The sequence below is a fragment of the Homo sapiens genome, chromosome 19, assembly GCF_000001405.40.
Source record: "Homo sapiens chromosome 19, GRCh38.p14 Primary Assembly".
NCBI lineage: Eukaryota > Metazoa > Chordata > Mammalia > Primates > Hominidae > Homo > Homo sapiens.
Genome location: NC_000019.10, coordinates 39,888,687 through 39,902,862, shown reverse-complemented (window position 1 = coordinate 39,902,862; position 14,176 = coordinate 39,888,687). Strand labels below are relative to the sequence as shown.

Here is a 14,176-nt window from a genome sequence, read left to right as displayed (position 1 = left end):
TGGCCTGCCTCTCTTCCCCTCCCAGGTGAACGGTGTGGACATGAAGCTGCCCGTGGTGCTGGCCAACGGCCAGATCCGTGCCTCCCAGCATGGTTCAGATGTTGTGATTGAGACCGACTTCGGCCTGCGTGTGGCCTACGACCTTGTGTACTATGTGCGGGTCACCGTCCCTGGAAACTACTACCAGCTGATGTGTGGCCTGTGTGGGAACTACAATGGCGACCCCAAGGATGACTTCCAGAAGCCCAATGGCTCGCAGGCAGGCAACGCCAATGAGTTCGGCAACTCCTGGGAGGAGGTGGTGTCCGACTCTCCCTGCCTGCCGCCGCCCACCTGCCCGCCGGGGAGCGAGGGCTGTATCCCCAGCGAGGAGTGTCCTCCCGAGCTGGAGAAGAAGTATCAGAAGGAGGAGTTCTGTGGGCTCCTCTCCAGCCCCACAGGGCCACTGTCCTCCTGCCACAAGCTGGTGGATCCCCAGGGTCCCTTGAAAGATTGCATCTTTGATCTCTGCCTGGGTGGTGGGAACCTGAGCATTCTCTGCAGCAACATCCATGCCTACGTGAGTGCTTGCCAGGTGGCTGGAGGCCACGTGGAGCCCTGGAGGAATGAAACTTTCTGTCGTGAGTGAGGGAGAGCCGGAGGGGCAGGGAGGGGAGAGCTTGAGGCACAGAAGGGGTAGACCCTGGGCCTTGCAGCCCCTCCCTCCCCAGGGCTCTGATCGGCACCCCCTCCTTGCAGCCATGGAATGCCCTCAGAACAGTCACTACGAGCTCTGTGCGGACACCTGCTCCCTGGGCTGCTCGGCTCTCAGTGCCCCTCTGCAGTGCCCAGATGGGTGTGCTGAGGGCTGCCAGTGTGACTCCGGCTTCCTCTACAACGGCCAAGCCTGCGTGCCCATCCAGCAATGTGGCTGCTACCACAATGGTGCCTACTATGAGGTAGGAACCTAGTCATCTGGGGCAGAATATGGGGTCTCACCCCTCCCACTGCTCATCAGCCCCACGGCCTGTCTACTTAGCCTCTTATTTATTTCTTTTAGAGTCAGGGTCTCACTCTTGTCACCCAGGCTGGAGTGCAGTGGTACCATCATAGTTCACTGCAGCCCCAAATTCCTTGGCTCAAGCAATCCTTCACCTCACCTCCCACGTACCTGGGACTATAGGTGCGCACCACCAAGCCCAGCGAATTTTTAATTTTCCTGTGGACACATAGAGATGGGGGCGTCTCACTATGTTGCTCAGGCTGGTCGTGAACTCCAGGCCTCAAGCCATCGTCCCGCCTTGGCCACCCAAAGTGCTGGGATTAATGGCATGAGCCACCATGCCCGACCCACTGAGCCTCTTTTTTTTTTTTTTTTTAAAGATATAGTCTTGCTCTGTTGCCCAGGCTGGAGTGCAACCTCCGCCTCTCGGGTTCAAGCTCACTGCAACCTCAGCATCCCAGGTTGAAGCAATTCTCTTGTCTCGGCCTCCCGAGTAGCTAGGAGTACAGGCACGTGCCACCACACACGGTTAATTTTTTTGTATTTTGGTAGAGGTGGAGTTTTGCCATATTGGCCAGGCTGCTCTCGAACTCCTGACTTCAAGTGATCCTCCTGCCTTGGCCTCCCAAAGTGCGAGCATTACAGGCGGGAGCCACCACAGCTAGTCCACTCAGTCTCTTCAGTGTCTCTTGTACCCACTCCTTTCCCTGTCCCCATGGCCCTCCCTTGGTCCAGCTGGTCCTCTCCTACCTGGGTCCCTCCCAGCTCCTACCTCTGCTCCCTCTGGTCCACCCTCCACGTGGCAGTGGTAAAGATCTTTCTAAATATGACCACGGGCTCTGAAGCTTTAAACCCTCCCCTGACTCCCCAGGTCAAGTTGTGGCTTTGCCTTCCAGGTCTGGACGAAGGGAGCCTTTCTGACCACAAAGACAAGATTTCCATGTGTTATACCAGCTGCTAACACCCTCTACTTCCCTCTCCCACTCTGTCCCCGTAGGTCCTTTTTCTTTGACTGGAGCATGTGTTTGTCTAATGTCCATCTCCCTTGGGGACTGTGAGCTCTCCTAGGGGTGGAACCCTCTCTCTGTTGTTCTCCTCACATAAATAATATTAATAATAACAGAAAATGTGTAGATAGTGCTTACTATGTATCTGGTACCGTTTTAAGTGCTATGTGTGCATATTTTTATATATGCATTACATATCTAAAAACTTTTTATTCTGAAAACGTTCAAACATGCAAAAATTAAGAGAATAGTGGAATGACTGTCCATGTACTTACCCATCACTTAGCTTCAAAAATAAGCCATATTCTCCCGATCTTGTTTGATGTCTACCCCACGTATCTCTCCTATCTGAATGTTTTAAAGGAAACCCTTTTCTGTTTTTGTTTTTTTTTTTCCTTGAGATGGGGTCTCGCTCTGTCACTCAGGCTGGAGTGCAGTGGCGCAGTTTTGCCTCACTGCAAGCTCCGCCTCCCGAGTTCACACCATTCTCCTGCCTCAGCCTCCCGAGTAGCTGGGACTATAGGCGCCCGCCACCACGCCCGACTAATTTTTTGTATTTTTAGTAGAGACGGGGTTTCACCGTGTTAGCCAGGATGGTCTCAATCTTCTGACCTCGTGATCCACCCGCCTCGGCTTCCCAAAGTGCTGGGATTACAAGCATGTGCCACCGCGCCCGGCCTACCCTTTTCATTTTATCTGAATTTTACATGTCTGAATATAACTTGGTTATTATCTGAATATAACTTGGTTATTATCTGAATATAACTCAGTTATATTTCCAAAGGCAGGCGCTACTATCATCTGCAATCTGCAGATCATGAAACTGAGCCATAAAGAGGTGAAGTAACTGCCCAGAGTCACACACTTTGGAAACAGCAGAAACGGGCTTCAAGCCCAGGCGATCTGCCCTTAGTTACTGTGTCACACCATTTCTCCTACAGCAGACGTTGAGTGGATATTTTGGAATGAATGAGTAAATGAAGAAAAGTGAATGAACCAATGAATGATGGCCCCAAAGCCATGCTGTGCCTCAGCTTCACAGACAAGGGGCCATCCTGCTGAGAGATGTCCCTTGTCTGTGATGTCTGCCAAACCCCTCTGTGCCAGAACGCCAGAGATGTGAGAGTCGGCTCCCACCCGTGGTGTCCCTGATGGCCGTTCCCTCTCTCCCCACAGCCGGAGCAGACAGTCCTCATTGACAACTGTCGGCAGCAGTGCACGTGCCATGCGGGTAAAGTCGTGGTGTGCCAGGAACACAGCTGCAAGCCGGGGCAGGTGTGCCAGCCCTCCGGAGGCATCCTGAGCTGCGTCACCAAAGGTGCTGGGCTGGGCTGGGCTGGGACTGGGGCTGATGGGACTAGGGATGGAGGATGGGGACTCTGGGGCTGAGGGTAGTGTAACTGGGGTGTCCATGGCGGGAGGTGTACAGGACTAATGATTGAGGTTGCAGACCTGGGGAACCCTAGACCAGGTTTCACAGGGCCAGGGCCACCTACTTTGGGAGGTAGGGACCCTTAGGGAAAATCCAGGCTGTGGGGACCCTCAGAGATAGTTTTCTCAGGGTGGATGTCAGAGACCCTCGGTATAAGGCAGGGACAGGCGCGCCTTTGCTCTAATGTGCTACATGGTAAATGTTTAAGCTCGCAGGCTGTAGGTTCTCGTTCCAGCTACTCACTCTGCCACTGTGGCATGAAAGCAGCCGTAGACTATGTAAGTGAAGAGGTCAGGCTCCTATAAGACTTTAGAATACAAGAGCAGCAGCCTAGGGGGCCATCATGAGCGGAACACTGATGTGTGGGATTGGACTTGGGGTTCAGACACTAGCACCAAAGGGCAGGGGAGAGACTGGGATCCCAGGGGCAGGGACAGAGAGCAGAGTTCTGAGTCTCACGCACGGAGACCTCACCAAGGCAGGACATTGGATATGGGGACCCCTCTTAACTGGAAGATCAGGATTTCTGGGGGTATAGTCTCTGATGTGGGAATCCCCCAGACTAAATCTGGGACACAGCCACCCCCAGGGCTCATTTCTTAGGGTGAAGAGCAGAGAACTCTCCTCCCCCTAAGGATAAGAGAATGGGAGCTCCAGCACCAAGGAGTGGGGGCTAAGACTCTCAGGGCTGATGAGCAGGATAATGGGGACTCCCAGAAATGGGGGGTATATCACTCAGCATCTAGTCGAGAGACAGAAAGCGTATGGCCATTTGAATGAGGAAAGTTTAATTAAAGAATCACTTACTTATTAATAGGAGATTAACTATTAAGGGTAAAGAGGGTCTGGTGCCGTGGCTCACACACCCAGAACTTTGGGAGGATCACTTGAGGCCAGGAGTTTGAGACCAGCCTGGGCAACATAGCGAGACCCCTGTCTCCACAAAAAATTGAAAATTAGCCAGGTGTGGTGATGCGTGCCCGTGGTCCCAGCTATTTAGGATGCTGAGGTAGGAGGATCAGTTGACCCCAGGATTTCGAGGCTGCAGTGAGCTATATGATTGCACCACTGCTCTCTAGCGTGGGCAAGACAGCAAGACCTTGTCTCTTTACAAACAAACAAATAAACAGAAATAAGAAACGGTAAAGAGAGCACTAAAGAATACCACCAAAGCACACACAGGAAGTAGCCGCCACTCTAGGGCTAAGGTAAAAGCCTCATGGAAGGGAGAAATTGGCCCCTACTCTTCAAGGAGGGGAGAATCAGCCCCAAGGCTGAGTCCAGTCTCACTGCAGCTGTAGCCCACTGGGTGGCACAGAGGTTTCTGCAGGCTGGACTTGGCAAGAAGGGAACCCCTCACTGGGAAGCCAGCTGCGGCCAGTGGCACTCGCTGAATGTGGCCCCGCACCCTGGCCAGAGCTGGAAGGACCAAACTGGCTAGAAGCCAGACCAGGAGACCGTCCCTCCTGCAGTGACTCTCCGGCGCCCTCTGTTGACAAAGCTTAACTCCGTGGGTGTATTTGAAGCTGAGAGGCGGTACATAGATAATGGACACAGGAGGAAGGAGACGTTTGAAGGCTGGCCTCTCCCACACAGGGGTTCCGCAAGCTGGGGTCACAGATGTAGTAACTGTACGAACAGGGTCTCGGACACAGAAACCCCCCAGGACAGGGCCTCAGCAGTGAGACACGATCAAGGCTACTGTCTTGAATACAGCAACCCTCAGGGATGGAGTCTTGCACTGAGGGAGCCCAGCCCATGAGACTTAGCTAGTTAGGGTCTCAAACATTTCAAATCCTGCTGAGACCCTGGCACTGGGCTCTTGCCAGAAGATCACCCCAGGGCCCTAGTCTTGGGCACAGAGGCCTCCAGGACCTAGAGAAATTGGAGACCAATTTCTATCAAATGTGGAGATGTCCAGGGGGCTGAGGTCTCAGGCATGGGGGACCCTGAGACCTAGATCTTTTTTTTTTTTTTGAGCTAAGGTCTCACTCTGTGGCCCAGGCTAGAGTGTAGTGTAGCTTACTGCAGCCTCGATTTCCTGGGCTCAAACAATCCTCCCGCCTCAGCCTCCCGAGTAGTGGGGGACTACAGGCACACACCACCACGCCTGGCTAATTTATTAATCTTTCTGTAGAAATGGGGTCTTACTATGTTGCCCAGGCTAGTCTCAAACTCCAGGGCTCAAGCTATCCTCCCACCTCAGCCTCTTAAAGTGCTGGGATTACAGGCCTGAGCCACCACACCTGGCCTGGGGCCCAGGTCTTGAACACAGAGAACCCTGGGGCTGGGATCTCAGACATGGATGCTCTCAGGGCTGGCATCGCAGACACAAGGACCCCTGGGGCACAGATCTCAACTGGGGTCAAGTGCACCTTTTCTCTAAAGGGCTAGATGGTAAGTGTTTAAGCTTGCAGGCTATACCTTCTGGATCACAACTACTCACTCTGCCACTGTGGTGTGAAAGCAGCCGTAGCCTATGTAAGTGAAGACGGTGAGGTTCCTATAAAACTTAAAATACAAGAACAGGGTGAAATCTCAAGCAAGGGCACCATGGAAAGTGCACCTTAAACACAGACCCAGAGCCTTGGTCTTTACCTTGGTCTTAGGTGCGTGGACTCCAGGATCTCAGTCTCACACAGCAAATGGCAGGGCCTCAGTCTCAGAAGTAGGGGAACTCTAGGTACTGGGTCTTGGCTGTACAGACCTCTGGGGCCCAGGTCTCAGGTATGGGACCTTTGACAGCCGAGACTTAGACACAGTCCCCCATGGGGCCTCAGTGTCAGCTGTGTGGGACTCCCAGGGGCTGGTCTTGAAAATAGCAGGCTGGGCATGATGGCTCATGCCTGTAATCCCAACACTCTGGGAGGCCAAGGTTGGCTGATCACTTGATGTCAGGAGCCCGAGACCAGCCTGGCCAACATGGTGAAACCCTGTCTCTACTAAAAATACAAAAATCAGCCAAGCATGCTGGTGGGCACCTATAATCCCAGCCACTCAGGAGGCTGAGTCAGGAGAATCACTGGAGCCCAGGAGGCAGAGGTTGCAGTGAGCCGAGATTGTACCATTGCTCTCCAGCCTGGGTGACAGAGAAAGACTCCATCTCAAAAAAACAACAAAACAAAAGAAAATGTAAAAGCAAACTATAGGAAGTGGGTCCTAGACATGAGGACTCTGTAATGTGGTCTTGCCTGCAGTAACCCTCAGATCCCTGGCACAGACTGGGTAGATGTGGAGGGAGCGGCCATGCTTTACAATGGGCAGCCCCTCAAGGTCCTCCTCCCTCTTCTGTCCCCAGACCCGTGCCACGGCGTGACATGCCGGCCACAGGAGACATGCAAGGAGCAGGGTGGCCAGGGCGTGTGCCTGCCCAACTATGAGGCCACGTGCTGGCTGTGGGGCGACCCACACTACCACTCCTTCGATGGCCGGAAGTTTGACTTCCAGGGCACCTGTAACTATGTGCTGGCAACAACTGGCTGCCCGGGGGTCAGCACCCAGGGCCTGACACCCTTCACCGTCACCACCAAGAACCAGAACCGGGGCAACCCTGCTGTGTCCTACGTGAGAGTCGTCACCGTGGCTGCCCTCGGCACCAACATCTCCATCCACAAGGACGAGATCGGCAAAGTCCGGGTATGTGTGGCAGGATGGTCCCCTGAGGTCCCCGGGAGGGCAGGAGGGATCCTGACGACCACAGTTAGCAGCTCAAGGCTCTTTGTCTTCACCTGGGCCTGAAACAAACTGTCAACAAAGAGAATAATTGCAACAAAAATATCACCCTGTTACTGGGAATTAAATGAGCCTAGCCCCTGGCAAAGGGCTTTAACATAGGACCTCAGCATTTGCCTTTTTTATAGACCTGGGTTTCAATCCAGCCTCTCCTCCTTATGAGCTATGTGATGCTGGGCAGTTCACTTGGTAGGCCTCAGTTTCCTCATCTGTGAAGTGGGCATCGTATCAGGGCCTCCCCCACAGCAAGGCCGTGCATGTCACATGCTGAGCTCAGAGTCTAGTCCAGGTGAACAGTCGTTTGAGTGTCGGTGAGGGAAAAGTGAGAGGCCCAGAGACCAGGACATGGAGAGAAATACAGGGAGACTGGGCTGGGCCCGGTGGCTCACGCCTGTAATCCCAGCACTCTGGGAGACCGAGGCCGATGGATCATCTGAGGTCAGGAGTTCGAGACAAGCCTGGCTAACATGGTGAAATTCCGTCTCTACTAAAAATACAAAAATTAGCTGGGTGTGGTGATGCTCCTGAATTCTCAGCTACTCAGGACACTGAGGCAGGAGAATTGCTTGAACCTGGGAGGCAGAGGTTACAAGAGCCGAGACTGCAACACTGCACACAAGCCTCGGTGACATAGTGAGACTCCGTCTGAAAAATAAAAAAAGTAATCAAGAAAAAGAAATATAGGGAGATGGGGGAGAGGAATGGGCTATCCTTTCTGCCCAAGGAAATGGAGATGTAGCTTGATGGCAGCTCACATGGAGAGACTGAGGGATGCAGCAGAGTAGGCACTGAATAAATGATGGTGAGTGAGTGGAAGAGATGCACAAAGAATGAGGGAGGTAGGGAGGAAGGGAAAAGGGTGAGACAGAGACAGAGAGACAGAAAGAGAGAGAGAGAGACAGAGACAGAGAGAGAGAAGACCCAGAGGCATAGCCTTAGGTGAAGACAGAGGGAGAGAGACACAGAGAGAGAGACAGAGACAGGGGAGGGAGATAGAGATGAAGGGAGAAGATCTAGAAAAAGTAAAGTGAGGTTTCGTTCCCCAAGACCTGGGCTAGAACAACTGTCCACAGTGTGTCAGATGACAATCCAACTCTCGGGGGAAGGCCCTGGCCTCTCCCAGCCCCCGGTGGGATGAGAGAGAGGGAGGCAGAGGGCCAGAGCTGGGGCCGTAAAACCTCCAGTGACCCGTTTGCCTTCCCTCCTTCCCCCAGGTGAACGGTGTGCTCACAGCCTTGCCTGTCTCTGTGGCCGACGGGCGGATTTCAGTGACCCAGGGTGCATCGAAGGCACTGCTGGTGGCTGACTTTGGACTGCAAGTCAGCTATGACTGGAACTGGCGGGTAGACGTGACGCTGCCCAGCAGCTATCATGGCGCAGTGTGCGGGCTCTGCGGTAACATGGACCGCAACCCCAACAATGACCAGGTCTTCCCTAATGGCACACTGGCTCCCTCCATACCCATCTGGGGCGGCAGCTGGCGAGCCCCAGGCTGGGACCCACTGTGTTGGGACGAATGTCGGGGGTCCTGCCCAACGTGCCCTGAGGACCGGTTGGAGCAGTACGAGGGCCCTGGCTTCTGCGGACCCCTGGCCCCCGGCACAGGGGGCCCTTTCACCACCTGCCATGCTCATGTGCCACCTGAGAGCTTCTTCAAGGGCTGTGTTCTGGACGTCTGCATGGGTGGTGGGGACCGTGACATTCTTTGCAAGGCTCTGGCTTCCTATGTGGCCGCCTGCCAGGCTGCTGGGGTTGTCATCGAAGACTGGCGGGCACAGGTTGGCTGTGGTGAGTGTTGGGGGAGCAGAGGCGGGGCTGGGGGCGGGGTCCCATCTCTTCGGGGCTGGTTTGGTTTCACTCTGGTCCTTCTGGGTCTCTTTGTTTTCTTTTTTCTCTGTTTGTCTCTCTGTTTCTTGGTGCTCGTCTCTGGGCCTCGCTTTGCTTGTCTCTATCTGTCTGTTTCTCATTCTCTAGCTCCCTCAGTTTCTGCTTGGGTCTCCTGGTGTCTCGCCCTCTCCCATTTCTTTCTCTGTGTCCTCTCTCTGTGTCTTGTTTTCTGTCTCCCCCTTTCTCTGTCTGCTCCCTAGTGTCTCTCTCTGTCTCCTCCCACCCTGTTCTGGGACCCCACCCCTAACACCCTTCTTTCTGTTTCTCTCCTTCCTGCTCCTTCATCTGCCCACAGAGATCACCTGCCCAGAAAACAGCCACTATGAGGTCTGTGGCCCACCCTGCCCGGCCAGCTGTCCGTCCCCTGCACCCCTTACGACGCCAGCCGTATGTGAGGGCCCCTGTGTGGAGGGCTGCCAGTGCGACGCGGGTTTCGTGTTAAGTGCTGACCGCTGTGTTCCCCTCAACAACGGCTGCGGCTGCTGGGCCAATGGCACCTACCACGAGGCGGGCAGTGAGTTTTGGGCTGATGGCACCTGCTCCCAGTGGTGTCGCTGCGGGCCTGGGGGTGGCTCGCTGGTCTGCACACCTGCCAGCTGTGGGCTGGGTGAAGTGTGTGGCCTCCTGCCATCCGGCCAGCACGGCTGCCAGCCCGTCAGCACAGCTGAGTGCCAGGCGTGGGGTGACCCCCATTACGTCACTCTGGATGGGCACCGATTCGATTTCCAAGGCACCTGCGAGTACCTGCTGAGTGCACCCTGCCACGGACCACCCTTGGGGGCTGAGAACTTCACTGTCACTGTAGCCAATGAGCACCGGGGCAGCCAGGCTGTCAGCTACACCCGCAGTGTCACCCTGCAAATCTACAACCACAGCCTGACACTGAGTGCCCGCTGGCCCCGGAAGCTACAGGTGAGGAGGGCTGTGGGCCAGACAGGAGCAAGTGCCAGCTCTGGGGTTGCCTGAGATGGTAAGGGCTTCACCATTCCCCTGGGCCCCTTTCACAGCTTAGCTGGGGCATGATGGAAGGGTCAGAGTGTACGCCTAGGAGCCTGATGGCTTGGCACAGCAGCTTCTTCCTCTGTGAGCCTAGTGTATTCCTCTGTAAACTGGTCTAGGAAAAGTACCTGTTTTCGAGAAGGATAAGGAGTCAGTGACATGAGCCAGTAGAGGCTCTTTGTTTTTCTTTTCTTTTTTTCTTTCTTGCTTTTCTTTCTTTCTTTCTTTCTTTTCTTAGCCTGACTCTGTTGCCCAGGCTGGAGCGCAGTGACAGGATTAGGGCTCACTGCAGCCTGGAACTCGTGGGCTGAATCGATCCTCCCGCCTTGGCCTCCACCTCCCAAGTATCTGTGACTAAAGGCACACGCCACCACGCTGGCTAATTTTTCATTTTTTTGTAGAGATGGGGGTCTCACTATGTTGCCCAGGCTGATCTGAACTTCTGGCGTCAAGCGATCCTCCCATCTCGGCCTTCCAAAGTCCTGGGATTGCAGGCTTTGCCACCAGGCCCGGCCTATAGATGCTCATTATTATTTTCAGCGGGAGGTGACATGCTCTGGGTCCCACAGCTAGTAGGTAGTGGGGCCAGGATTCAAACCCGTGTTTGCTCCGTTCACCGCTCCCCCACTGCCCACAGGTGGACGGCGTGTTCGTCACTCTGCCCTTCCAGCTGGACTCGCTCCTGCACGCACACCTGAGCGGCGCCGACGTGGTGGTGACCACAACCTCAGGGCTCTCGCTGGCTTTCGATGGGGACAGCTTCGTGCGCCTGCGCGTGCCGGCGGCGTACGCGGGCTCTCTCTGTGGCTTATGCGGGAACTACAACCAGGACCCCGCAGACGACCTGAAGGCGGTGGGCGGGAAGCCCGCCGGATGGCAGGTGGGCGGCGCCCAGGGCTGCGGGGAATGTGTGTCCAAGCCATGCCCGTCGCCGTGCACCCCAGAGCAGCAAGAGTCCTTCGGCGGCCCGGACGCCTGCGGCGTGATCTCCGCCACCGACGGCCCGCTGGCGCCCTGCCACGGCCTTGTGCCGCCCGCGCAGTACTTCCAGGGCTGCTTGCTGGACGCCTGCCAAGTTCAGGGCCATCCTGGAGGCCTCTGTCCTGCAGTGGCCACCTACGTGGCAGCCTGTCAGGCCGCTGGGGCCCAGCTCCGCGAGTGGAGGCGGCCGGACTTCTGTCGTGAGTACTGCTCCATGCATGGTCCACATGGTTGGGTCTCTCCCTGCCCTTCCCAGGACTGTAGGACAGCAGCCCCTTCCTCCTCCATGGGGCTCAGGGGCCACTTTCCTTCCCGAGCTCGGTATCTACTGTCAGGAAACACCTTGGCACTGACACACTGAAATGCCCCAAGTCAGGTACTGCAGTGAGAGAGAGTCAGTTAGAAACACCTAGTCAGAGTGTGGGCGCGGTGGCTCACGCCTGTAATCCCAGCAATTTGGGAGGCCGAGGCGGGCGGATCACCTGAGGTCAGGAGGTCGAGACTAGCCCGGCCAACATGGTGAAACCCCACCTCTACTAAAACTACAAAAATTATCCGGGCGTGGTGGCGGGCACCTGTAATCTCAGCTACTCAGGAGGCTGAGGCAGGAGAATCACTTGAACCCAGGAGGCAGAGGTTGCAGTGAGCCGAGATCGTGCCACTGCCCTTCAGCCTGGGTGACAGAGATTCCATCTCCAAAACAAAAAACAAACAAACAACAAACAACAGAAAAAAAAAAAGAAAGAAAAGAAACCTGGGGTCCAGGACACTCTTAGGGATTGGTGATCCATGCTTTCAGGTATCCAAGGCATGTAGATTGGGATGGCTGACCCTGCCTCTGTCACATAGCAAAGTACCCCTTGTTAGGAAGACCTAGTGAGTTTCAGCTGGTCAGAGGGCCCAGGTCTGTTGCACACACTGAAATACACCTAGTCACATGGAATTAGTCGCATACCTTCAGTGATATCTGCTTAAATTTTATACTGACTGGTCAGATACACTCAGAAAGAAACAGGATCCTGGCATAGCCTTGGGCAGATCCACACAGATGCATAGTTAGATAGTCCTAGGCGGTTCCCTTCAGGCAGGTCTCCTGGTCACAGGTATCCTGCCAACTTCACCCAGGCACAGCCTTAGGCAGACCATGTCAGAAGGACTCTGGGAGATGCTGCATGTCAGACACCCACAGCTGGGTGCCCTCAGGCAGAGCCATACCCTGAGATACATGTGGCCCCACACCCCAGTCACATTCACACGCTGAGATGCCCATAGTCAGTTCTGATCCTGCATACCCCGAATAGATATAAGTGATCCATTTCACCCAGGTAAGCCTGGCTTACATAGTGAGACCCCATCTCTACAGAAAATAATAATAAATCAGCCAGATGTGGTGGCTTACTCCTGTAGTCCCAGCTAATCGGGAGGCTGAGGCCAGAGGATTGCTTGAGGTTTAGGTGGAGGCTGCAGCGAGCTGTGATTGCGCCTCTGCACTCCAGCCTGGGTGAGATAGAGTGAGAGCCTGTCTCAAAAAAAAAAAAAAAAAAAATATCAGCCAAGCAGAGTCATTTGATCTTCAGAAATATTTGGTCAGAGAGACCTGGGCATGTCCCCTCCCATTCCAGGTCCCACGCTGAGTCCCCCAGTTAGATGTCCTGGATCACATGTGCATGCCCAGAGACGCCCAAGTTGGCCTGAGCAGTTTTCCCACTCAGGGCCTCCCAAGACTGCGACTCAAACACCTACCTGGCTGATGCCCACCTTGTCCCCACAGCCTTCCAGTGCCCTGCCCACAGCCACTACGAGCTCTGCGGTGACTCCTGTCCTGGGAGCTGCCCGAGCCTGTCGGCACCCGAGGGCTGTGAGTCGGCCTGCCGTGAAGGCTGTGTCTGCGATGCTGGCTTCGTGCTCAGTGGTGACACGTGTGTACCTGTGGGCCAGTGTGGCTGCCTCCACGATGACCGCTACTACCCACTGGGCCAGACCTTCTACCCTGGCCCTGGGTGTGATTCCCTTTGCCGCTGCCGGGAGGGCGGTGAGGTGTCCTGTGAGCCCTCCAGCTGCGGCCCGCATGAGACCTGCCGGCCATCCGGTGGCAGCTTGGGCTGCGTGGCCGTGGGCTCTACCACCTGCCAGGCGTCGGGAGATCCCCACTACACCACCTTCGATGGCCACCGCTTCGACTTCATGGGCACCTGCGTGTATGTGCTGGCTCAGACCTGCGGCACCCGGCCTGGCCTGCATCGGTTTGCCGTCCTGCAGGAGAACGTGGCCTGGGGTAATGGGCGAGTCAGTGTGACCAGGGTGATCACGGTCCAGGTGGCAAACTTCACCCTGCGGCTGGAGCAGAGACAGTGGAAGGTCACGGTGAGAGCAGATGGGGAGCAGGGGGCGAGGGGCCTGTGGGTAGGTGGGGCACAGGCAGCGCTCAGCCCAGGAGTTGGGGGCACAAGAGATGAGAGTGCATGTGCGAGGCCTGGGGTCTCTGAGGACAGAAGATGCCAGTCAGAACCGAGTGGGAAGCCAATGAGGGAGGTGTCATCAGGGACTTGGGAGCTGCTCCCCCATCTCTGTCCCTCAGTCTCCACCCTCTCTTTACCTCCATGCATTGACTTTTCTCTCCAAATTTCTCCCACCCTCTCCTCCCTCCCACTCCATCCTCTCTCCACCTCAGTCCTGGATTCTGCCCTACTCACCTCCCTAGTCTGCCACTTATTGGCAGGACGTGGTGCCATCAGAGGTTGAGAAAGTCCGAGTTTGAGAAGCTTCATGGACAGAGGACAATCTGTGGGTGACACTCTCACCGCCTTAACAACAACAACAGCAGCTATAGTTTCTATACAGCTGACTGCACACCTTTTGGCTGCCAGGCACTTCACGTCCATGGTGTCTGTATGCTTGCAACAGGGACTGCAGGCACTATGACTTGCTTTATTTTTCAGAGTGGGATGGCCCATCACTGGCCCATAGTCCCCCAGCAAAGGTGGAGCTTGAACCCCGTGCTGCTCTGCAGTGCTTTTCTTACTGAGAAGATTTGGTCTCATGTGGAGACTGGCATCTGAGTTACAGTGGAGGGGTTTCCCCTGAGATCCCACTGAAACAGACACGCAGCTGTTTTTCTAGTGGCAGTATTGGCGAAGGTGCTGATCAATTACTGAC

General features: G+C 55.2%; 1 protein-coding gene across 1 annotated transcript in view; it reads left to right on the top strand.

Moving 5' to 3' along the window:
• Window positions 1–14,176, top strand: part of FCGBP (Fc gamma binding protein) — a gene marked incomplete in the record, with an annotated part of 71,312 nt that overhangs the window by 31,772 nt on the left and 25,364 nt on the right. The window contains 8 exon segments of the mRNA NM_003890.3: window positions 26–620; window positions 739–938; window positions 3,166–3,307; window positions 6,720–7,057; window positions 8,368–8,941; window positions 9,336–9,952; window positions 10,677–11,220; window positions 12,792–13,384. Coding sequence (NP_003881.2) covers window positions 26–620; window positions 739–938; window positions 3,166–3,307; window positions 6,720–7,057; window positions 8,368–8,941; window positions 9,336–9,952; window positions 10,677–11,220; window positions 12,792–13,384 — 3,603 coding nt within the window.